General features: G+C 36.4%; 2 protein-coding genes and 1 pseudogene across 47 annotated transcripts in view, besides 1 other annotated feature; all 3 read left to right on the forward strand.

Annotated features, from left to right (window-relative positions):
- RANBP2 (RAN binding protein 2) overlaps nt 1–26205 on the forward strand; it is a 1122820-nt gene that overhangs the window by 135892 nt on the left and 960723 nt on the right. The gene's annotated exons all lie outside the window — the stretch shown is intronic.
- The window catches only part of CCDC138 (coiled-coil domain containing 138), a 98736-nt gene that overhangs the window by 68624 nt on the left and 3907 nt on the right, over nt 1–26205 (forward strand). For 12 of the 46 annotated variants that reach the window (XM_047443542.1, XM_017003492.2, XM_047443543.1 and 9 more), the window contains 3 exon segments: nt 1421–1597; nt 18078–18216; nt 20715–21218. In XM_047443542.1, coding sequence (XP_047299498.1) covers nt 1421–1597; nt 18078–18216; nt 20715–20880 — 482 coding nt within the window. In that variant the 3' untranslated portion in view covers nt 20881–21218. 46 annotated transcript variants of the gene reach the window in all.
- Nucleotides 14726–14926: a silencer, noted in NCBI's record as "peak3812 fragment used in MPRA reporter construct". NCBI's record gives its function as "represses an SCP1 promoter by STARR-seq MPRAs in K562 erythroleukemia cells {active_cell/tissue: K562}" and the evidence as "EXISTENCE:reporter gene assay evidence [ECO:0000049][PMID:32103011]".
- Nucleotides 22935–23090, forward strand: RPL39P16 (ribosomal protein L39 pseudogene 16; annotated as a pseudogene).

The following is a 26205-nucleotide window of genomic DNA, read 5'->3' on the forward strand; positions in this document are numbered from 1 at the left end:
ACTAAGAATAATGTGTGTCAAATACAGTAGGTGGCACTGTGATAAAACTTTTGTTCCTATAAAGAGTTGCGTTCAGGCTTCATCTGTGTATACTCTTCTACCTGTGGTGTTGCTAAAAAAAAAAAAAGGATGTTTCTAAATAAGGCAAGTCTGAACAGAATCACAGAATCTAGCAACTTTGTTTAACTTAATACACATTTATTTACAATGTTTTTTTAAACCACAAAATTAAGTACAGTAATGTTGGTGTTCCTTGAACTAAATTCTACCAATGGTAAAAATGGAGTGTACTATAATTGATCCAGAGGCACAGATCTTACTTTCTCAAAATAGTTTCATATGTATTTTCACTTCACACAAGTTATTCTAAACTTCTCATTCTTAATAACCAGGGTTTTAAATTACTTATTATGTAAGCTGAAACAGCAAAGAAGAAATGCAACATGAAGCTACAAAAGAGTAAATTTTAATACGGTGATTCTGTTGTACTTTCAGTATTTCATGGTGCTCTTGAGTCTTCTCCTTTAAACAGAAATCTCAGTATAAAAATTATTACTTGGATAGCATGAACGGTTTTTTTTCCCTCTGAATAGCATTTTGAAAGGAGAGTTTTAGAAAACTTGATTATTGTACATTAAAAGCACAAGGTAAGACTGCTGTAAGAGTAGGGACTTGGGTTGTGTAGTGTACTGAAGTGTAATGATGCAAGTATCTTACTACTTCATTTGCAATGATTCTGCTTAAATTAGTGCTTCCCAATCCTGGCCTTGCAGGTTTCTCAGTCATCTGTGGGACTTCTTTAAGAAAGTTTCAGGGTTTCTGATTCAGGAGTTGTCACAGCACTGGCCTGGGTAAAATCTTGCTGCCATTCTTAATGGCAGATGTATCATGAAAACTGACACACCAGAGCATATTCAATCTTCTGAAATTATCTTGTTTCAGCTTTACTAGGAAACAAATCCTTATTTAAAATCCATTTAGCACGTTTGTATAAATTACATTTTGAAGTAGGTAAACATTTAGGAAGCAGCAACAAAACATAATCTTAGAAAGCTATTATAGAGATAGAAATACTAAGTTTTTGGAAGCATGTAGTAGTTATCAAATATGGAAAAATAAACATTCGTGATACTAATAGGCATTGTTTTTCTTCCTTAGTATTAAAAAATGTGGCTTGTTATTTTGGTGTTAAAACATGAAAATTCTAAATGAAATTTACCACATCATAATGTCTCCTCTCTCCTTACCCATTTGAGTTCTGACAAATCAGTTAGAATCTAAATTTAGACTGTGATCTCTTATTTAATTTTTGTTTGTCTTTTGAGTTTGTTAAAGTAACGACATTGCTTTTTTACCTTCTGTTTCTGATTGACACCTAGACTAGCAAAACTGCAGTTGATTGTACATAACTATTTTCCAGCTGATTACCTGGCTCAGGCATTTGATTCTCTTTGTTTGGACTTGAAGACAGAAGAAGGAAAAACCTTGTTTTTGGAGTATCAGGCTGTTCCAGTAATATTAAGTCATCTAAGAATATCCAGTAAAGGACTCCTGTCTAATGTTATTGATAGTTTGCTCCAGATGACGGTGGAATCTAGTAAGTTTTTAAGTTCTATATGTGTAAAGAAAGCAGGATGATTTTTCTGTCTTTATCTTGTCTGCATGTATAACTCCACATATCAGATACTATTGCTTTTTTTTTTTTTTTTTTTTTTTTTTTTTTTGAGATGGAGTCTCGCTTTGTCGTCAAGCTGGAGTGCAGTGGCACGATCTCAGCTCACTGCAACCTCTGACTCCCTGGTTCAAGCAATTCTCCTGCCTCAGCCTCCCGAGTAGCTGGGATTACAGGCACACGCCACCACGCCCAGCTAATTTTTATATTTTTGGTAGAGACGGGGTTTCACCATGTTGGCCAGGATGGTCTGTATCTCCTGACCTGGCAGCCTCGGCCTCCCAAAGCACTGGGATTACAGGCGTGAGCCACTGCGCCCGGACTATTGCATTTTTAAATGCTTAAAAATATTTTTGATGCTATTTAATTGAGTCATTAATAACATCACTAAAAAATTAGGTAACTTCTCCAGGGATTCCCCAGCTAAACACAAGTAGAACTGAGACTTAAAGCCACATCTCTGACTCTAGACCTAAGGCTTGTTCTACCAAAGCACTGTAACTAGGTTTTCCAGGTTTATTTTCTTCTCCTGTCCCAAAATGTCCTATATTGTCTGATGTATTTTATCAACGTTTTTAGCTATTTGTAACTGTTAAAATATTGGACTTACAGTTGATGACTAGCTACCTAGATTAGTAATCTTGGAGTTGTGTATTTCAGTTTACTAATGTAAGGAGTAGAATGAAAAGTGAAAAGTTAGTGAACTGAGGGATCCAGTATTACTTAAGTGCCTAGATTCCCAACTTGTTTCACAGGGATTTTTCTTTTAATGAGAAAAACAAAAATCATACCAGATGCAAATGTGTATTCATTAGAAAGAAATCTTTCTGAATATGACAGAGATGGCATCTTTCTCGTTGTCAAAGGAAAACAAAATATAATTTTATGAAATAGTTGACCTGCTTGGGTGAAATAAATTGTGGTACTGCAAATGCAAATTTGAATAAAGTCTATTAGAGGAGATAGTCAACAGTCAGTCACATTTGTTTACCATTGTCCAGGTTACTCTCAAATTCAGCCAGGTGCAGTGGCTCATGCCTGTAATCCCAGCACTTTGGGAGGCCGAGGCGGGCAGATCACTGGAGATCAGGAGTTCAAGGCCAGCCTGGCCAACACGGTGAAACCCCGTCTGTACTAAAAATATAAAAATTAGCCGGGCATGGTGGTGTGCGCCTGTAATGCCAGCTACTCAGGACGCTGAGGCAGGAGAATCACTTGAACCCAGGAGGTGGAGGTTGCAGTGAGCCAAGATTGTGCCACTGTACTCCAGCCTGGGTGCCAGAGTAAGTCTCCGTCTCAAAAACAAACAAACAAACAAAAAAAACACCAACGCTGTGCCCTTGTTGTTCAAATCAAGTAAATAAGCAGTATCTAATGGTGATCACTACTAAAGCCGTATTGTGTTTAGTGATGCGAAAATTTTGGAAGTTTGGAAATGGGTGAATCTTTGATGATGTCTGACTGAAGAGCATTTACTTGCTTGAATTTTAATGTAAATTCAGTACTTGTTGGTCAGCCAGTACGATTTATTAGAGCGAGGAAAGATTGATCAAAGTGTAGCAAATACTTCTTTAGCTGTTGGTTTTTCATTTTTCTAGGTTTGAGATTGGAAACCCATTTTACCATATATTTAATTTTCTCATGCTATTTTTTTCTTTTTTTTTTTAATTTTAGATTTAGGGGGTACATGTGCAGGTGTGTTACATGGATTTATTGTGTGATGCTGAGGTTTGGGCTTCAACTGAACTCGTCATTTAGGATAATGGCATCCAGCTGCATCCATGTTGCTGCAAAGAACATTATTTCATTATTTTTTATGGTTGTATAGTATTCCATGGTGTATATGTATCACATTTTCTTTATCTGATCCACCACTGATGGGCACCTAGGTTGATTCCACATCTTTGCTATTTTGAATACAGCTGCTGCAATAAGCATGAGAGTGCAGGTATCTTTTTGGTAGAACAATTTCATTTCCTTTGGGTATATACCCAGTAATAGGATTGCTGAATCGAATGGCAGTTCTATTTGACTTTAGTAATAGCCGTTCTGACTAGTGTGAGATGGCATCTCATTGTGGTTTTGGTTTGCATTTCAAAGATGATTAGTGATGTTGAGCATTTTTAAATATATTTGTTGGCTACTTGTATGTCTTCTTTTGAGAAGTATCTGTTCATGTCCTTTGCCTACTTTTTAACGGGGTTGCTTTTTCTCATTGATTTGTTTGAGCTCCTTGTAGATTCTGGATATTAGTCCTTTGTTGGATGCAGAATTTGCAGATATTTTCTCCCATTCTATAGGTTGTCTGTTTACTCTGTTGATAGTTTCTTTTGCTATGCTGAAGCTCTTTAGTTTAAGTAGGTCCCAGTTGTCAATTTTTATTTTTATTGCATTTGCTTTTGATGAGTTTGTCATAAATTTTTTGCCTAGGCCAATGTCCAGAAGAGTATTTCCTAGATTTTCTTCTAGGATTTTTATAATTTGACATCTTTCATTTAAGTCTTTGTTCCATCTTGAGTTAATTTTTGTATATTGTGATTTTCTTTGTTGAAAATCAGTTGGTTGTAGGTATGTGGTTTTATTTCAGTTTCTCTATTCTGTTCCATTGGTCTGTGTGTCTTTTTATATACCAGTACCATGGTGTTTGGTTACTATAGCCTTGTAGTATAGTTTGAAGTCAGATAACATGATGCTTCCAGCTTTGTTCTTTTTACTTAAGTTTGTTTTGGCTGTTTGGGCTCATTCTTGGTTCCATATGAATTTTCAATTTTTTTTTTTTCTAATTCTGTGAAGAATAATGTTGGTAATTTGATAGGAATTGTGTTGAATCCATAGATTGCTTTAGGCAATATAACCATTTAAATGATCTTAATTCTTCCAATCCTTGAGCATGGAATGTTTTTCCATCTGTTTATGTCATCTGTGATTTCCTTTAGTAGTGTTTTATAGTTCTCCTTGTAGAGATATTTCACCTTCCTGGTTAGATGTATTCCTAAGTATCTTGTGTGTGTGTGGCTGTTGTAAATAGGATTGTGCCCTTGATTTGGTTTTCAGCTTGAATGTTATTGGTGTATAGAAATGCTTCTGATTTTTTTTTTTCTTAAATATGTTGTTTTGATGTAAGCTACTGATTTTTGTACGTTGAATTTGTATCTTCAGACTTCACTGAAGTCATGTTTCAGGTCTGGGAGTCTTTTGGCAAGATCTTTAGGGTTTTCTAGGTATAGAATCCTATTGTCAGTGAACAGAGATATTTGTCTTCCTCTTTGGATGCCTTTTATTTCTTTCTCTTGGCCAATTGCTCTTGCTAGGACTTTAGTACTTTGTTGAAGGAGTGGTGAAAGTGGACATACCTGTTGTGTTCCAGATTTTGGGGGAAACCCTTTCAACTTTTCCCCATTAAATATGATATTGACTGTAGTTTTGTCATAAATGACTCTTATTATTTCAATGCCTAGGTTGTTGAGGTTTTTTTTTTTTTATCCTAAAGAGATGTTGGATTTTATCTCATGTTTTTTCTGCATCTAGGGGTTTTTGTTTTTAATTCTCTTTTTACATTTACTGATTTGCGTATATTGAATCATCCTTGCATCTGAGGAATAAAGTCCACTTGATCGTGGTGGATTACCTTTTTGATGTGCTACTAGGTTCCGTTTGCCAGTATTTTGTTGAGGATTTTTGCTTCTGTGTTGATCAGGGATATTGGCCTATAGTTTTCTACTTTTGTTGTGTCTTTGCCAGATTTTGGCATCAGTATGATACTGGGTTTTGGAATGAGTTAGGGAGGAGTCCCTCCTCCTCGATATTTTGGAATAGTTTCAATAGAATTGGTATCAGCTCTTCTTTGTTCATCTGGTAGAATTTGGCTGTGAATCCATCTGGTCCAGGACTTTTTTTTTTTTTTTTTTTTTTTGGTTGGTAAGGTAAGGATTCAATTTTGATTCAGTTTTGGAGCTCAATACTGGTCTGTTCAGGGTTTCAATTTCTTCCTGATTCAATCTTGGGAGATTGTATATTTCTGGGTAATTATCCATTTCCTCTAGATTTTCTAGTTTGTGTGCATAGAGATGTTCATAGTAGTCTCTGAGGATTTTTTTTTAAATTTATTTCTGTGGGATTAGCTGTAATGTCACCTTTATCATTTCTGATTGTGTTTATTGGGATCATCTCTCTTTTTTTCTTTGTTGATCTAGCTAGTGGTTTATTGATCTTGTTTATCCTTTCAAAAAAACACTTTTTCATTTCGTCGATCCTTATATAGTTCTTTTAGTCTCAACTTCATTTAGTTCTGCTGTTTTTATTATTTCTTCAGCTAACTTTGGATTAATTTGTTCTTGTTTTTCTAGTTCCTGTAGGTGTGACATTAGGTTGTTAATTTGATATTTTTCTTTTTTTATGTAGACATTTAGCACTATAAACTTTCTTCCTTTTTTTTTTTTTTTTTTTTTTTTTTGAGATGGAGTCTCGCTCTGTCACCCAGGCTGGAGTGCAGTGGCATGATCTTGGCTCACTGCAACCTCCGCCTCCTGGGTTCAAGCGATTCTTCTGCCTCAGCCTCCTGAGTAGCTGGGACTACAGGTGCACACCGCCACACCTAGCTAATTTTTGCATTTTTAGTAGAGACAGGGTTTCACCATATTGGCCAGACTGGTCTCGAACTCCTGACCTCCAGTGATCCGCCCACCTCTTCCTCCCAAAGTGCTGGGATTACAGGCGTGAGCCACCGCGCCCGGCCTAAACCTCGGCCTCCCAAAGTGCTGGGATTACAGGCGTGAGCCACCGCGCCCAGCCTAAACTTTCTTCTTAGCACTGTTTTTACTGTATCCTACAGGTTTTGGTATGTTATATCTTGATTTTCACTGTTTCAAAGAATTTTTTTTTATTTCTGCCTTAATTTTGTTGTTTACCCAAAAGTCATTCGGGAGTAAATTCTTTAGTTTTCATGTGTTTATATGTTTTTGAGAGTTCTTCTTTGTATTGGTTTCTATTTTTATTCCACTATGGCCCAAGAGGATTCTTGGTATGATTTCAGTTTTTTTTTTTTTTATTTGTTGAGACTTTCCTGAGCATGTGGTCAGTCATAGAGTATGTTTCACATGCAGATGAGAAGAATATATATTCTGTGGTTGTGGGAATGACCCATGCCACTTAAAAAAAAAACAAAACAGGAAAAAGTTGCTGCAGAAGAAATCTCAATGGAATTTATTTACAAATGGGTTATCTTACCTTACTATATGGGCATTGGTGACCAGCTTTGTGAGGTTCCATGTTTCAAAGCATTGTGTTTACAGTGCTCTAGGGAATGCAGAGCTTCCTCAGGGATCTTCACAGGCTGGGAGGTAGTGTCAGTGGACCTAACTCCAAGTGCCTGTGACTGGTTCCCATTGCATATGATGGAGGATTTTGGATTTTCAGATTAGGGATGCTCAACCTGTATAATGTGGTGATTACAGTTAATAACAAGTATATTACATACTTGAAAATTGCTAACAGAGTACATTTTAAATGTTATCACCACAACAAAGCAAATATGTGAGGTAATGGATATGTTATTTGGTTTGATTTAGCCATTCCACAATGTTTACATACTACATGATATTGAAATATATTGTACATGGTAAAGATATATAATTTTCATTTAATTAAAAAACCAACAAATATCCCAGAAAAATATATCTTTGCTATCAAAAGATACATAACTATTTTGTATCTTTTTTCCACAAACGGTTTTCTTGATGTTGGCCACCTTTTGTTTTTTTTTACGTGGTTAGATACTAGTGCATATACAGTTGCATATTTGCAGGTAGGCTATGTTTATCTGTTTAAAATGCAAGAAAATCCTAGGAAATATTACAAGGACATACTTGAGTTGTTCTGTTTAAATTCTGTGTTTCAATTTGGGTAAAAAAATAATAAAGATAACAAAGAATCATCAAAAACTTTGGACTATACTCCAGGCATTAAACTTGTTCTACACATCTAGAACTTACTTCTGAATATATCCATATTGTTTAGTTGCAATATTAGGTTGTTAATTTGATATCTTTCTATCTGATGCAGGTACTATTTTTCATTGACAAGTTTTTCTTGATTTGAACAACATAATTTCTTCCCTTTTTGCTGTTTTAAATTTATTCAATCGTTCTATTATGTTTTTTATTATTTAGGAGATTAAAGGAAGGATAATTTCAATGAAATTATAGATGCAATATTTCTAACAAAGCACCAACCTAATCCTACATACATATCATCTGTTTTCTCAGTTACAAGCTTTCACATGGAAAAATTCCCTTTAGGAAATACAATGGGAAGGTTTATTTTTAATAACTGAAGAATATACAACTATAGCAAAGGGTGTGCTGTACTTTAGATGTGTGGTGTTTTCAAAAAACATCAGAGAAGCCAGTGTAGCTGAAGCAGAGTTAGTGAGGGCAGAGAAGTAGAAGAACCAGGAAACAAGCTGGGGTGCTCATTGGGAAGAGCTTTGTTGGGCATCATCAAGACTTGGGGTTTTTTATGTAGTAAAACTCCTAGATCTTTTTCTTTCTATTCTGGTTTGTTGACTTTAATGTTAGGAGCTTTTAAATATATTTCTACATAACCTTTGTTTTTAATTATTGCTTAATATTTTGTTATGTTTATCATCATTATTTATTAAGGCAATTGAGTTTTATGAAATTGGATAAGAAAAGTGATTCATTGGCATTCTTTCCCAGCACAAAAGAGCTTTGAAGTTGTTCTTGGTCAGCCACTTCAGGGATATGTGGCACAGGGACCTAATGAACTAACAGTTCCTTCTGTAACTTCTGAAGTCTACTTAATAGTCAATTAATGAGCGCTTTTAGCCATATATTTGCTACTGGTCTCTGAATGCTGCCAGATTTACAGCTCTATTAAAAGTTACATAATCACTTTAATGATTGGTTTGCATCCCCTTGTTTGACACTGTTAACAGAATCTCTGTTTCTAAGATGAAAGGCTGGTCTTTCTCATGTGTAACACTAGACAATAATAGATGATGTGTTACACTAGTGTGTAACACTAGTGAGCCCTTCTTGGTCAACTTTTAAGTTTGTGTTATATAGCATATTTTGAGGAAACCCATTCTCATATTTTGTGAAAAAAAAACAAAACATTGCATATGATGGGGGATAAAATCTAACCCACCAATTAGTGTGGTAGAAGAAGCTAAGAAAGCAAATAATTAAATATCCAGATGATGAACACGCTATTTTTATTTATTTATTAAAAAAAGATTAAAGTTCTCTAGCTATTTAACTTAAGGAATTATTTTTAACAAAATTGTATTTATTGTTTAAAAGGTAACACATTCAAGGCCAGTTGTGGTGGCCTATGCCTGTAATTTCAGCACTTTGGGAGGCTTAGGAGGGAGGACTGCTTGATCCCAGGAGTTTGAGACCAGCCTGGGCAACATAGTAAGGCCCATCTCTACAAAAAAATTAAAAAATTAGCCGGGCACGGTGGCTCACACCTGTAATCCCAGCACTTTGGGAGGCCAAGGCGGGCAGATCACGAGGTTAGGAGATCGAGAGCAGCCTGGCTAACATGGTGAAACCCTGTCTCTACTAAAAAAACAAAAAAGCCAGGCGTGGTGGCCCACGCCTGTAGTCCCAGCTACTCGGGAGGCTGAGGCAGGAGAATCACTTGCACCCAGGAGGCGGAGGTTGCAGTGAGTTGAGAGTGTGCCTCTGCACTCCAGCCTGGGCGACAGAGCGAGACTCCATCTCAAAAAAAAAAAAAAAAAATTAGCTTGGCATAATGGTGTGCACTTGTAGTCCCAGCTACTTGGGAGGCTTTGGTGGGAGAATCACTTGAGCCCTGGAGTTCAACGTTGTACTGAGCTATTAACATGCCACTGCACACCAGCCTGGGCAAGAGTGAGGCCCTGTTTTAAGAAAATAAATAAATAGTAACACATTCACATATCTCATAATTTCAAAAGTACAAAAGTGAAAAGTCTGCCTTCAGTTACTGTTTCCCTCCCTGGAGGGAACAACTGCAGACACACACACAAATACATACACATTTTTACTTTTTCCTTTTTATCACAGGAATGCTACTAAGTTTTATATATATTTTATATAGATATATATTATGATCAGCATTATATCTTGAAGATCTTATATAAATGCATAATTTCTTCAATTAAAATTCATTCATTTAAGCAGACCACGATTGATGGATATTTTGGCTGTTTCTAGTCTTTGGCTAATATAAACAGTGCTTCTGTGAATAACCGTATACAAAACTTAAGTGTGTACATGTGGGAGCTTATTTGGTAGTAGTGATTTCAAATTCTGTCAGTTAATTGATATATCTCCATTTCATTAGGATCAGTTTCTAGAGATTCATCTCTTTGTCTTTTGGGGAAAATATTTCCTTGTTTCTTCTTTTTCCTTGACATTCTCTGTTGATGTTTTTGTGCCATAGACAAAATAATTACCTCTCTAAGTCTTCATGGTCTGGACTCATTCTGGAGAAGACCCTCACCAATCAGCCCTGACAGAAATTCTGGGATCTTTCAAACCTTCATGCCAGTCCTATCCACTTTCTTTGTTCTTAATAGTCCCTAGGCATCTAGAATATTTCAGGTCCCTTCAGCTTCTGAGACCATGGAGACTGAAGCCATTTCCTCAGGCAGTCCCCATTTAAGGTGAGTGGTTGGACACACGGTACTCCCCTATCCATTCCCAGGTAGAAGCTAAAGAGCTGGGGTTTTTGCCTGCTTACTCCGTGATGAGCCAGAGGTAGAGGGCGGGGTGGCTATAGTGATCAACACCCCAAATTGCCATGAGTGGCCAGAGTTTGTTGGGTTCTGTCAGTGCTCCAAGACAGGGTAGACATAAACCAGTTTTCTGGGTAGTTCCTAGAAAACTTTGGACATTAGACACATAGGGTACCTCTTTCTCTTCCTGGGGAGAAGCTAGGAGCTGGGGGATTTTGTTCCTGTCTTATGGAGCTGTGCAAGAGGACTATGGTAGTAGGGTATCTGAATTGACTTACTGGCTTTGATGTGACTGGTTTCACACCTACTGGGATGCAGGAGCCTCTTAAAGTTTCTGGATTTCACAGAAAGGGAATTTGGCCATGGGGATTGTTGTGGAATCAGTTTGCTTGTTGGAAGAAGGAAGGTCCAGGAGTCCTCTTCTGCCATCTTGATGATGTCATCCCTTCTGCCTCCCTTTTATAAGGATACTTGTGATTGTAGTTAGACCCTGTGAAGTGATCCAGGATCATCACCTCCATCTCAGTATCTCTAATTTAATCACATCTGCAAAGCATTTGTCTTATAAGCTAACATTCACAGGTTCCCATGAAGGGGATGTGGACATCTTTTGGGGGAACCATCATTCAGCCTACCACACTAGTCTTTCATTTTTCTCTCCTCATCAATTTGAGAATTATCTTGGTACCAGTTTACATGTGTATCTGCTGCATTTAGGATATTCCATGTACAGGTACAAGCATTTGACCACTTCCTTATGTTTTACAGTGCAGTTATCCTCAAGTATTGACACATTGAAATGATTAAAATAGGCCAGGCATGGTGGCTCATGCCTGTAATCCCAGCACTTTGGGAGGCTGAGGCAGGTGGATCACGAGGTCAGGAGTTTGAGACCAGCCTAGCCAAGATAGTGAAACCCCGTCTCTACTAAAAATACAAACATTAGCTGGACGCGGTGACGGGTGCCTATAATCCCAGTTACTCGGGAGACTGAGGCAGGAGAATTGCTTGAACCCGGGAGGTGGAGTTTGCAGTGAGCCGAGATCACGCCACGGCACTCCAGCCTGGGCGACAGAGTAAGACTGTCTGAAAAAAAAAAAGGAAAGAAATGAGTAAAATATTACCTTATTATAAATTCCCTTTTCCTCCCCTGTATTATAAATAGTGCATTATATTGATTAAAAAGATACATGTAAACAGATTATATTGTTATATTGTTTATGGTTATTTTTAGGTTAATTAAAGGGGAATTATAAAATATTTATTATGAAAAGATTCTACTGAGTCACTGGGTTGAGAACTGTTCCACTAGCTTAGCTATGTTTTTATATATATGTATAATTTATATAAATAGGAAACCTGGGGCTCTGAGAAATTAAGTGACTTATTTAATGTCACAGGGCTAGGGCCAGGGCAGTGATAAGAGGAATAACTAAGTCTTTTAGAAGAAGAAGAGGTGGACACAAGAGAGAAGCTCCCCGCTGGAAGCTAGAACTCCAGAACTGAGAGATTCCAGAGTGGGAATTACTGGCAGCACTAATGTGTCTTTAGGAATTGAAAAAGCAAGCTAGAAGGAAAAAAATAAAAGTCTTGAAATTCTCTCAGGAATGAGAAGTAGAAGGAACAACATGGTTCAAAACTGGAAAAATGGCAGACTAGGAAGTTTACCTGGGGAGTTGTTAGTTACGAATATGGATTACCCTGCTCCAAGAGTGTCTTTGTCCTTGGACTAGCACTCCCCTCCCCAAGCCTTTGGCAAGTTCCTACTCATCTTTCAAGAAATAGCTCATCTTGAGTGCATTTCACACCATTCCTCCTTCCAAAAAGGAATGAGGGTGGACTTGAAAAAAAATACTGAAGAGGAAAATTCATTTGGGTGTTTTTCAAAGACTACCTAAGTCTATTCATACTATTGCTTTTTTTTGTTTGTTTTTAAATATTTCTTTAGCCTTATCCAGTTTGAGGGATGGGCAACTGAAGGTTTTTGGTTGGTATTGAATGTTGCTGTGTTATGTTCCAGCCTTTGAGTCATCAGAACTGGAATAAAAGCCTTACTAACTAGACATCATACATTTTTGTCCCGTGTAATAAATAGCATGTTACTATCTGGGAGCTGAGGTGAGTTTTCTTTAAAAAATAATTTTATTCTGATTACCCTTGCCTTAGAATTCTGAAAAGATTAAAATAGCTCTTATCTGAGGAACTTGGATTCTGAGCATTTAAACTGGAAAAATGTTCTAGTCAGTTATCGACAGGCTGATGACTAACATGTGGACATAATCATTACCAAAGAGTGTGCTAACTTGTTGACAGCATGTACTTTTAAAAATGTATAACCGCTATAGGAAATGTTGGCAGATAAATAATTACCTTGAGAGATTTCAGTATTGACTTTTAAATTAATAAAAGTTACGTTTATTTTCTTAAGTTACTCGCGATAGATTTTTGTCAGATATCATATTAGTATAGTATTGGTGCAGGGAGTCCATGGTGCCCCTTTTTCCTTATTACTGAAAGTAACTTGTAGCTGAGATTGGTTATGTCTTCAGGTAATCTTTCTCAAATTGAAGATTTAAATACTTTCCACCAAGCTTATTAACTATAAATTTATGTAAAATATTGTGACTCAACAAAAGCACTGAAAAATTTGTTTCAAGAAATAACTTAGACCCTTGCAGCAGAGACTGTGGGTTGGCTCCCCCATCATCATTCTCACCTCTTTCTACCTCACCTGTCTCTCTTCTGGAGACTGTAACACCTAAAAACTTTCTCCTCCAGCCTTTCATTGCTGGCAGGGTAGCTACATGCTTGACACACATGAGGCCAGTAAGATGGAAACTAGAAATCTGCTGAGAGTTTCTGGGAAACCTTTTGCTTTTCTTCTGAAGAAGAACAGATATAATTGGCACTCATTCCCATACTGTCCTCCTTTTTTGCTTTGTTATGTAGAGCCTTTGACCATGACACATAAAAATAAATACTAAGAACATTTTCATGAGAAAACTTGAAGAAAAAAAAGCTAAGGGTTTTTGGGCAGAAACAAAGAATCTGGGTTTCTGATGACGTTGTCTTGCACCTGAATTGGTTCCATGAAGTGCCTACCTTTTGTGAAAGAAAAAAATGAAATTTTTTTCTATTTGATTAAGCTATAAGTTGGATTTTCTCTACGTTCCCAGCTGAATTAACACAGACTATACTTCATACTTGGAGTGGGTTTTATTTTACTTTATAAAAATTTTGTTTTGTTTCCTTGAAGAAAATTTTTTTTTCATAATATTGTACATGCTCAAGCAGAGCAAAATTCAAACATCAGCAAAATGGCTGACTAGGATGTTGCAGGTGCTTGTTTCCCCACAGAAACACCAAATAAATAGCTACAGACAGACTAAAATAACTTTGTAGGAACTATGGAAACCAGTCAAAGATCTGTAGCAACCCAGCAAATGCCCAATCAAGAAAAAGCCACATGCAAAATGATAGGACATTCTGTGATAATTTTACTCACCCTTACCCTACTCTATCTCTGGCACAGTGCAGCACAAAGAGAAGTAAATGGCCCAGTTCTCCATTCCCTTCCTCAGGAGAGAAGGATTCAAGCAGGACTAGTTTGAGGCATTCTTGCCTATCAATGGGTTGCCCAAGAGACTGGTTTCAGACTTGCCTCGTTCAGGGCACATACAGGGAATGCGGCATGGTTTGAATCTCAGGAAGAAGGCCAAGGAAGGCAGTGGTGGGCACCATAGCACATGAAAACTGCAGGGAGACTACAGACCTGTGGATGTGTAGGAGGAAGAGGTTATGCACAGAGGAATACCATACAAGATCTAAGGCCTTCAGAAGAAGCTTGGGTGAGATTCTGGGAAATTAAGACATTTACAGGCAGCCAGAGGAAACAAGAAAAAAAGAAAAAAACAGCATACACAGGCCCAGACAGGATGCATGCCCAGACAAGACCTGAGATGACCTTAAGCACACTCCCTACACCGTTCCCAAGGCTCAGGTGCTTGATAAGTAGTGAAGGCCTTTCATGTCAGTCTTCAAAGACTGGGAGGGGTGGTTTTTTCAAATGTCAGATTTTCAGCAAAAAAAATCGTAGAACACGCAAAGAAAGGATGAAACCTGGCTCATCCAAAGGAACAAAATAAATCTTCAGAAACTATCCTGTAAAGACACACAAATTAATTGGATTTGCTCAGAAAAGACTTTAAAACAACTATCTTAAATATGCTCAATGAGCTAATGAGAAATAATGAAATCAGGGAAGTGATACATGAGCAAAATTTCTCAGCTATCTTAAATATGCTCAATGAGTTAATGAGAAATAATGAAATCAGGGAAATGATACATGAACAAAATTTCTGTCAACAAAGAAACAAATTATTTAAAAGAACCAAATTCTGGAACTGGAAAATACAGTAGCTGAATTGAAAAATTTACTAGAAGAGTTCAACAGCAGACTTGAACAGGCAAAAGAAAGAATCAGTGAACTTGAAGGCAAGTTATTTGAAATGATCAAGTCCGAGGAACAAAATCAAAGAAAAAAGAAAAGTGAACAGAGTCTGAAGGACTTACGCAGTACCATCAGGCAGACCAGTTGATGCATTACTGGAGTCCAGAAGGAGAAAAAAGAGAAAGGGTGGAAAGATAATTTAGAGAAATAATAGCTGAAAACTTATCAAATTTGAGGAAAGACACGGCTCTACAAATCAAAGAAACTCAAGGAATCCACATTTGATAAACCCAGAGTCCGACATCAAGACACATTATCATGAAACTGTCAAAAGTAAAAGACAAAGAGTATCTGCAAAGCAACAAAAGTAAATGTGGTATGTACATACGGTAGACTATTATTCAGTCTAAGAAATGAAGTTCTGATACATGCTACAGAATGGATGAACCTGGAAGACATTATGCTAAATGAAATAAGCCAGGCACAAAAGGATATATCTTCTATGATTCCTCTTATATGAGGTGCCTGGAGTAGAGAAATAAGTAGATTGGTGATTGTCAGGTGTTGGGGAAGAGGGAAATGGGAAAATTAAAGTTATTGTTTAATGTGTGCAGTTTCAGAAGAAGATGGAAAAAACTCTGGAGATGGATGGTTGCACAGTAATGTGAATTTACTTAATACCACAGAACTGAAAACTTAAAAATGGTTAAAATGATAAGTGTTATGCATATTTAACACCAATTTAAAGAATGAATATAAATAAACTTCTAGAACTCAAAAAATTGAAATGAACCTCATTATTTAGAAATAGCCGTCATTAATGTTAGGTGAACATTATTTTAGACACGTTCCTATGGTTGTGTTCACATGAAAAGATGGATGAATGGATAGATAGAAGGAAATACTTTTACAGAAATGGCATGCATTATACATGTTATTTAATGAAATAGTATTCAACAGGAAAAATAAAATGGATTAGAGTCATAAATTTTTAAAATTATAAGTTCCTAGCCAGGTGTGGTGTCTCATGCCTGTAATCCCAGCACTTTGGGAGGCTGAGGTGGGCAGATCTCTTGAGGTCAGGAGTTCAAGCCCAGCCTGGCCAACATGATGAAACCCCAACTCTATTAAAAAAAAAAAAAAAAAAAAAAAAATAGAAAAATTAACTGGGCATGATGGTGTGTGCCTGTAATCCCAGTTACTCGGGAGGCAAGGCAGGAGAATCCCTTGAACCCAGAGGGAGGAGGCTTCAGTGAGCCGAGATCATGCCACTGCACTCCAGCCTGGGCAACAAAGCAAGACTTTAGCTCCAAAAAAAATAAAAGTTCCTTCTGTTAAAAAAGCAAGATAAAAAACATTGTCCCATTTTTTGTACATTGTTTATGTTGGTAAAATATTCATAACATAAAATTTACCATTTTAACCATTTTTTAATTGTATACCCTATTTAAATACTGTGTTCTACACAGAATTGATTGACTTCCAGCCTGAAAGATGAAATACATACTGCTAATGTATTGCACTTTTCATCTTCCCCGCCTCCATTTTCTGATTTTTAAAAGTGATATTGCTATTTTTTAGTCATAGTTTATCTTTTTACCTTTTGTTTTGTGACTACCATTTCCACATTTGCTACATAACTAGCTTTATTTTCTCTAGTTTTACAGTTAATTATATTCAGTGATCAAGACTAGTCCTTTTACTGTGGCTTCTCCAGGTCTTTTTTCTTAATTTTGAATGATCTTTTAATTCCCCTCTCTCACACGTACTTTGCCCTACTTCCTTCCACCAATTTAAAGAGGTACTTCATGTTTGAGAATGCCTGAGGCTTTTATACTTAACCAGATCTTGACTGAGTGGTTTTTAATCTCTTTTGCTTTTGTTCAGAACTTAGTAAATAAACATTGCTTTGTTGTCTTCAGACATTCATTGTTGCCTCGGAGAATTCAGAGAAGAGTCTGATCATTTTCTCTTCTTCCCTCCTTCTCCTCCTCCCCCCACCATAGCATCCTGCCATTGGTGCCCAAAATTTATGTCCTTCTCATACGCAGAATACATTCATTCCATCCCAGTACCCCAAAATTCTTAACTCGTTCCACCACCACATACACATACCTCGGTAAATTATGTTTAGACCATGCTTTTGTTGGACTATTACTGTGAAAGTAATGAGTTTGGTTACCCTACTTTTACTACATAGTTATATGCAAAAGGCACATAACCATTGTCTCCAGTGCTCCATTCCTAGCATATACCACTTAGTCTGTTTTATCCTACTATAGCAGAATACCTGAGACTGGGTAAGTTAAAATGAACAGAACTTTAATGGCGTATATTCTAGAGGCTGGGAAATCCAGTATCAAGATGCTGGCATCTTGCGAGGGCTTCTTGTTGCATCATCACCTGGCAGAGGACAAGAGGGCAAGAGAGAGCAAGAGGGGGCTGCACTCACACATGGCGGTGGAGCCTCATGGCCTTATCTTCTTAAAGGTCCCCACTCTTAATACTATTACAATGGCAGTTAAATTTCAACATGAGTTCTACAGAGGACAAGCATTCAAACTACAGCATTCTGCCTGCAGGCCCCCCACATCTCATGTCCTCATAAACAAAATAATTTATTTCATCTAAATAGCCCCACAAGTCTTAACTTGTAATAGCTTCAACATAAAAGTCCAGAGTCTCATCTAAATTAAATGTGAGAGTAGTCTTTTTTTAAATGAATCTTTTCCCTTTTTGCTTTTATGCTCCAAAGGTTCTTCCTTATCTAGTGACTGTGTAAACTGTCATTAATAGTCAAGTGAAATTCACAAATTTGGAGGCTCTTTGATTTGTTTTTTGTTTTTTTAATTTACTACTTAAGCAGAATTTCTTGTTGCTAATTATAGTATTTAAACTGAACTTATTGTTACGAACTTACTGAAGAAATAGCTTTCCTCCTTTCTTTCAAACATGGGATTTCTTCTAGATTTTGCCTAATAGGAATTTAATATTAGGGTAAATAATCTTTTGTTTGCCTTGTTGAATAAGAGCCAGTGGATGTTTTAATTTTTCAAATGATGATATTTTCACTCAAAAATTTAAGTATGAAAAGAATGAAAATCTAAATGAATATTTATAAATGCCTCACATAGTTCTGATTTTAATTTGTTTTTAATTTCCTTTTTCGCTACTCCCTAATAGTAAAGCACTGTTGATTTGTTTTGCAGAATCCTTGCAGCCTTTCCTGGAAGCCTGTAGCAACTCTTTATTTTTTCGTACTTGCTCTGTGCTGCTTCGAGCCCCTAAGCTTGATCTTCAAATACTAGAAAAACTCAGTATTATTTTACAGAAACTTTCCAAAATCAAGTAAGAATTTCTTATTTCTAACATTTTTTATTGAAAAATACCTTACTGTGATCATTTAAACCAGGGGTTTTAATCTTTTGGCTTCCCTGGGCCACACTGGATGAAGAAGAATTGCCTTGTGCCACACATAAAATACGCTAACACTAACGATAGCTGATGTGCTAAAAACAAAACAAAACCTCATAGTGTTTTCAGAAAGCTTACAAATTTGTGTTGGGCCACATTCAAAGCCATCCTGGGCCGCATGCAGCCCATGGGCTGCAGGTTGGACAAGCTTGATTTAGACCTTTCTGAATCCCATGCTACTTAAGCTTTGATTATTAAAAAAAAATTTCCATTATACAGATGTAGAAAATTAAGATTCATAAATACTAACGCTGATCTAAGACCACATATTTAGTGACAGACTAGAATTAGAGTTCTGATCTCAGAACATCTAGTTGTTTCTATAGCTCATTTCAGATAAATGAACTTTAAATGCTTCATATAAAAGTAAGAGCAGTTTTTAGCAACCAAGTAATAATATCAGAATAAATTCTTGCATACTGGTATTCTGTAATACCACAGGTGAAAATAAAAAGATAAAAGTATTTTGCAAATCCTTATTGATGTACTAAAGTGAATTTAGGGAATGAGAATGAAGCAAGCAGAAGAGATTTGAAATTACTTTGGTAACGGGATTTATTTTAGTAAACTCTTATGGACTGCCTACTGCCACTAATTTGGATTTTTTTATGAGAATCATGGGCTTTGTTTCCTCATCTTTCTCCTGACTCAGAAACTTGTATAACCAGTTACTAAACTATAAATAAGGACATCGATTTTAAGTTGTATTTTCCGTGATTCTTGGTATGCTGTAGTGTTTCCTTTGAGGCAAATCTGGACACCTTCTATCTCAACTCATTTGTATAACAGTAACATTTTTATTTTGATTTAGGTTCAGCTCTTCTCCTCCTGGCCTCATCCCCTCATCCATGATTCCCGTGGTAGAGAATTTAGATTTTACCAGGCTTCCATATGCTTGAGTAGTAAATGCAATGCATCTTGAAATTATTTGTAGATAGGGATTAAGAGATCCATATGTTCTATTTGGTAACATGCCTAGTAGAGGATTGTAATAAATTATTGTCAAATTATAACCTTATAATTTGACTGACCAAGTTACTAGCGCTGAATTTATCAATTTACTGTCTTCCTTTTCTTGCAGACTATACCGTGATTCTCTTGATTTCAGTAAATTCCTAGTAAGGCCTATTGCAGTTACCTTATGGTGCCATGAAGCTGCAATAACATTACTTAGATTTAATTCTTTTTTACTTCTTAATTCATGGGATTTTTTTTTTTTAAAGGTAGTCCCAAAGTGCAAGTATAACCTTGGGCCAAAATGTTTTACTATTCATGATGTGTTTGTAGCTTAGGTTCATTTTAGACTTAGATAAAAAAACAAAGCTTGAACAAGAAGACTGGGAATAGTTGATGCTCAAGCAGATCTTAAAATAAATCTTTAAGACCACAAAAGATGTAAATCCTTTTGTATTAGGATAGTACATAAGAGTTTGTATTAGGACAAACTCTCTCAAGAGAGTTTGTCAAATAACTAGACAAGGAAATAAGAAACAAAGCTAGACAAGGAAATAAGAAACAAAGCTAGACAAGGAAATAAGAAACACGTATACATATGTAACTAACCTGCACAATGTGCACATGTACCCTAAAACTTAAAGTATAATAAAAAAAAAAAAAAAAAGAAACAAATTCTTAATGATTGAAATGAAATTACTGACAGGTTATTAGAAAGAGGATGGTTGAACAAGTATTCTATAGCCAAGTCAAAAGATAAACCAATATTCTGCCACTTTAAAAAGGCCTGCTTACTCAAAATAGGATGATCAAATGTTTGTCTGTTTTGCTAGCTGTGAAAAAAAAAATTCTCACGCTCTCTAATAGTGAATAGGGTGCAATTTTCAGGGTTGTAAAATGGTTCCAGGCTGGGCACAGTGGTTCACATCTGTAGTCTCAGCACTTTGGGAGGCCAAGGAAGGAGGATCGCCTGAGCCCAGAAGTTCAAGACCAGCCTTAGCAACATAGTGACACCCTGTCTCTACAAAAAATAAACAAAATTAGCCAGGTTTGGTGATGTGCGCCTGTAGTCCTAGCTACTTGGGAGGCTGAGATGGGAGGATTGCTTGAGCTGGGGAGGTTGAGGCTGCAGTAAGCTGTGTTCATGCCACTGCACTCCACCTGGGTGCCAGAATAAGACCTTATCTCAAAAGAAAAAAAAGTTTTCTTTTTTCCCCAGTGGTTTTCTGCTTCAGGTTTATCTCATAAAACCTATTTTGTTTGTTTCAGCATTCTAATCTTTTAGTTGCCTATTTTCTCCACTGTTTTTAAAAACAGATGCCATTTCCTCATGTTTACACATAAATTATCTGTCAGTGTCATTGCAGATAAACTCTCTAAGTATGTGTAATTAAATAATGTATTCATTTTTTTTACAGGAGTAATAAGAAGCTCTTTGAACTTTTTACGATTCATCTGATGCTTCAAGAAATACAAAGGACAACAAACCCAGAGCATGCATTTCTCTGTATTAATCTAAATTCAACTCTGTTCAATCTGGGTTTAACAAAATGTAACTCCCTGGTCTCCAGTGCAAGCCCTTAGACTGGCTAATTTTTTAATATAGTATATGTGGTGCTTATTTATAAACATGTAGAAATTACCAAAGTAACTACAATTCTACCAAGTAAAGTTATCAGTAGCATCATTTATCATGAAAAATAAATAATTTTTTTGAACTGTAAAAATGAAATCTGTAGAAGGTATTGGAACTTTTGGAATGTTTCAGTTCAGGTAAGGTAATACTAATATACAAGATGGCGTTTCTAGAATGTATGACACTGAAGTGACTTTTTGTAAAAATATATTAGGAAAATTATTTCTTAAAATTATGTGATTATTTGGAATAAAATTGGTGCTTATGTGAGAACAGGGTTAAATAATACTGTCTTTCTATTTTCCTAATATATTAGAATCCTTGCTTTTGAAAGCAAAAATGTATATCTTTAAACTATCATCTTGATACCATAACTTTTCTATATACTGTATCCTAGATTAACAGATGTTGATTTTTTTTTTATTGTGCTCTTTGTGGGATAGAAAAAGTTTTTTATTATGCTGTTCACAGGTTTAAAAACTTTTGTTTTCAAAATAATTATTACTGGAGCATGTATATACAAGGCAAGACATTTTTTAAACATTGAAAGGTAAACAAAAATAATCGTCCTGTTACCAGAGATATCTCTTGGTATAGCCAAAGATGAGTAAAGTGGCCACAGGTCTGGGTGAAGTAAAGGTGGTAAAACTTGGGACTTAGGACAGGATACTGAGAAACATTGTTTTAAAGAGTCATAAAATCATATATGATCAGTGTATAATCTCAGTTTCAGGAGTTAGAAGAAATTTTCAAGAAACTATTGGGCCTCTTCAAAAAAATACCAGAAAATGTGCCATTTTTGAAGTAGAAACAGAAAGCCATAATGAAAGAACAGGCCAAGGTGAGAATGGTGGAACCATAGAAACTTAAAAATGCAGAAGGCCAGGCGCGGTGGCTTACGCCTGTAATCCCAGCACTCTAGGAGGCTGAGGTGGGCGGATCACCTAAGGTCAGGAGTTCAAGACCAGCCTTGCCAACATGGTGAAACCCCGTCTCTACAAAAAAAAACAGAATTAGCCAGGCGGTGATGGGCACCTGTGATCCTAGCTACTCGGGAGGCTGAGGCAGGAGAACCACTTCAACCTGGGAGGCAGAGGTTCCAGTGAGCCAAGATCACGCCATTGCACTCCAGCCTGGGCAACAAAGTGAGATTCTGTCTCAAAAAAATAAAAATAAATAAATAAAATAAAAACGCAGAAGCCAAAGTGCACATTAGAAACAAAAAATAACTTCATAAAATAGGATTAGCATGACAAGAACAAACCAAAAGGTGTCTCGGAACTCAGAGTATATAGAGATAGTACTCATGAGAGTGGATGGCAGATACTAGGACAGAGCCTGGCACTTCTGCATGGCAGCATTTGGTGTCTCTGAAGAAAAGAACAGAACAAGTGGAGCGGAAGCAATATTCAGAAATATAGTTGAATAAAGATTCTGGTGGCCAAAGAAAGAACTGCATGTACAGATTGAAAGGGCTCATCATGTTCCAGAAAAACCTATGAGAAAAGGGTTCTATAATTAGATGCATCCTGGCCAAATGGTAAGTTACAAGGATAAAAGCACAAACAAAAGCCAGTTACTTAGAAGAAAGGAAAAACCAGACTAGCCTTATAGAATGCTGGAAGGTAATAGGGAGCTCTACAGGAGAAGATTTTTAATCCAAGAATTTCTCCCTAGTGAAGATGCCTTTCATAAGTGAAGACAATGGAATGACAGCTTCAGACATTCAGGCGTTGAGAAATTATACCACTTACGTACTATTCTGGAGAAAGAAATGACTTAAAGATTAATCAACTAAGAGATGAAAGAAAACAGTTTATTAAATCAACCTCATATCAAAAGCACTGAACACTGAAACAACTTAAACATTAAATAATTATAACTGTTTATAAGATGGATTGAGATGTTAAATTCCTGAAAAGGATAAATAATGGAAAAAGCAGCCCCCTCGCTCTTCCTTCCTCCATCATCATGATGTGTACAGTTGACTCCATTTCTCACCCTGTCTTCTCACAAGTCTTTCAGGGTCAAGTGATTTCAGGCCAAGAAACAAAAGCAAAATTGTCTCATTCCCCAGTGCATTCAGATGAAAACTGATAATAAAATCAGGTACAGTTCCAAGAGGAGACACTGGAGAGGAACCACGCTGGGTCTGTAAGGAATTGCAAATGAGATGGCACACATATTTATGCTGTATCAAGGTCACTGTCATCTTACCATATCAGACTGAAAATGTCACCACCATCTGGACAGTCAGATATGTTTTATCGGGAAAATGGTTTTTCTCTTTGTGTATATGCTCTGCAGTAGTAGGGTGGTTTAGTAACAAATATGTGAGACCTTTTATTTGAAAAAAATTGTTTTTAAATAATGGGAAAAGCAATATGTTAGTAGTAAGTATCTGGGTAAGTCTATCTTAGCCTTTGTTAACAAAAACTAAGAATTGATGGGGCCTTGAGATTGAGGTAGAGATGAAAGAGGAGCTGTTAACTACAATCTTCTACATTATCAGAAAGAGTTGAAGTGTTAATTTCACTATTAGAAAAATGTAAGATAAAGAATCCTTTTGGAAAATATCAAGGAAACTATTAAAAATAGCATAAATATTCTCAAAACACTGAAAAAGAAATGAAATATATAGATATAGCAAAAAATAGAATGACAGGAATGTGAACAAAAATATTTAGGATAAAGAAGTTTAAAAATTATAAGTTCTTTATGGTCATGTTCTAAATAAATTTGAAAATCTGAATGAAATGGACTGTTCTCTAGGAAAAGATCAAAATTGGCTTAAGAAATCTGCACTAGCAAACCGTTGCAGTCTTTTATTTATTTATTTAATTTTCTGTAGAGACAGGGTTTTGCCATGTTGCCTGGACTGGTCTTGAACTCCTGAGCTCGAGCAGTCTTCCTGCCTCAGCCTTCCAGAATGCTGGGATTACAAGCATGAACCAATGTGCCTAGCCTACAGTCTTTTATAAAATTATCAAAGAATTCTTTTTTAAAATGGCTGCAAGTCCAGGTGTTTTACAAGTGGATTGTTTTAAAATTTCAACATGAAATATTTAAAGTTATTTAAACTGTCCCAGAAGGTAGAAAAATCATCCAAATTCATTTTATGCAGTTAGCATGAATCTGGTATCAAACAGTTGGCAAAATGAGAAAGAATAAGATTTAAAAGTCTCAAAGAATTATGGAGAAATTAATACCAACTGCATATGACAGAAACATTAATCCATGATTAAGTAGGGTAACATACATTCCAGAAATACAAGATTAACTTTCTAATAGAAAAATATATTTTGGCCAGGCTAAGTTTTTAGTATATTATTATTATTTAATCCTCATAATAACTTTGTGAGATGGGTCTTTTAATTGTTACCATTTTATAGATCAAAAAAGAAATGGGGTTAGGGAGATCTGAGTGACTAAGCCGCTATCATTGTTGTGACTAGAGCTCTGTTAGTTGAAGGGGAGTGAGAGGGAATTTGCAATACTAGATTTTTACCCATATTAGAGTTGTGACTAGAGTCCTTGAGTTTACCTCCTCTCTTCCAACCTTCAAATTTATTGGAATAACAGAAGAAATTTTCTAGAGTAAACAATGTAAAATAGAAGATTTTTATTTTCAGCAGGGTGGTGGACTATATCTATTCTCCAGGTGCAGTGCAACTAAAAATGTTAAGAGAACATAAGCATGTGGTTGAGCTGGTGGCAAAGTAAAACAGTTCCTTGGAGGCCAGACATGATAAGAAACAAATCCAAAGCAAAAGAAAACATTTTAAAAAACAGAAATCAATGAAATTGAAAACAGGAAGTCAACACAACCAAAAGCTATTTCTTTGAAAAGATAATAAAATTAATAAGCTTCCAGACAGGGTAACTTAAAAAAAAAAAACAACAACAAACAAAAACAAACAAAAAAAAAAACGAGAGAAGGCACAGATTGCTAATACCAAAAATGATAGAGGGGACAGTACTGTAGATTCCATGTTCATAGATAGGAAGACTCAATATTGTTAAGATGTCTGTTCTTCCCAACTTGATCTATAGATACAATGGAAATCCTATTCAAAATCCTAACAAGTTATTTTGTGAGTACCAACTAACTTTCTCCCATGAATTATGAACTTTCTTAATGGCATCCAGAAGGCTAAACTTCCTAGGTTTTCATAGCTAGAGAGGAGCCAGGGAGGAGACATCAAGGCCTGGCTTCAAAGCTTCAAAGGACAGGCTGACTCTCTTGTTAGAGTTTAATGGAGCTGGTGACTTTGAAGGCAATGCTCATTTGCCATTCTGTAAATCCTAGGGCCCTTAAGAATTATGCTAAATCTCCCCTGCCTGTACTCTATAAATGGAAGAACAAAGCCTGGATGACAGCACATCTGTTTACAGCATCATTTCCTGAATACTTTAAGCCTGCTGTTGAGACCTACTGCTCAGATAAAAAAAAGACTCCTCTGAAAACATTACCACTTACTAACAGTGCACCCAGTGACCAAAGAGCTCTACCATGGACATGTACAAGATTAATGTTTCCATGCCTGATAACATAACATCCATTCTGCAGCCTGTGAACCAAAACGTAATTTCAACTTTCAAGTCGATTTGCTTCTCCATATATACTTTATAATTCATGAGAGAAGTTCAAAATATCAACATTAACAGGAATTTGGAAAGAGTTGATTCCAATACTCACGAATGACTTTGAGGGGTTTAAGACTTCAGTGGAGGAAGTAACTGCCGATGTGGTGGGAATTGCAAATGAACTAGAATCAGATGTGGAGCCTAAGATGGCATGGTCTTCCAATAGAAGGCTGTTTCATCTACATTGAAAATCTGTTGTGTAGTGTAGCCACTTCATCAGTGGTCTTACCTCAGTCTTGTGGAGAACTTGCTGCAGCTTCTACACCAGCACTTGTTGCTTCAACTTGCACTTTTATGTTATGGAGATGATTTCTTTCCTAAAACCTCATGAACCAACCTCTGCTAGCTTCAACCTTTCCTTCTGCAGCTTCCTCAGCCTTCATAGAATTGAAGAGAGTTAGGGCCTTGCTATGGATTAGGCTTTGGCTTAAAGGAATATTGTGGCCGATTTGTATCAAGACCACTAAAACTTTCTCCTTATCAGCAATAAGGCTGCTGTGTTTTCTTATCATTTGTGTGTTGTCTGGAGTAGCACTTTTAATTTCCTTTAAGAACTTTTCCTTTGCTTTCACAACTTCGTAGTTTGGCACAAGAGGCCTAGCTTTCAGCTTTTCTTGGCTTTGGAC

This window comes from Homo sapiens, chromosome 2 (genome assembly GCF_000001405.40).
Source record: "Homo sapiens chromosome 2, GRCh38.p14 Primary Assembly".
NCBI classification, from domain to species: domain Eukaryota; kingdom Metazoa; phylum Chordata; class Mammalia; order Primates; family Hominidae; genus Homo; species Homo sapiens.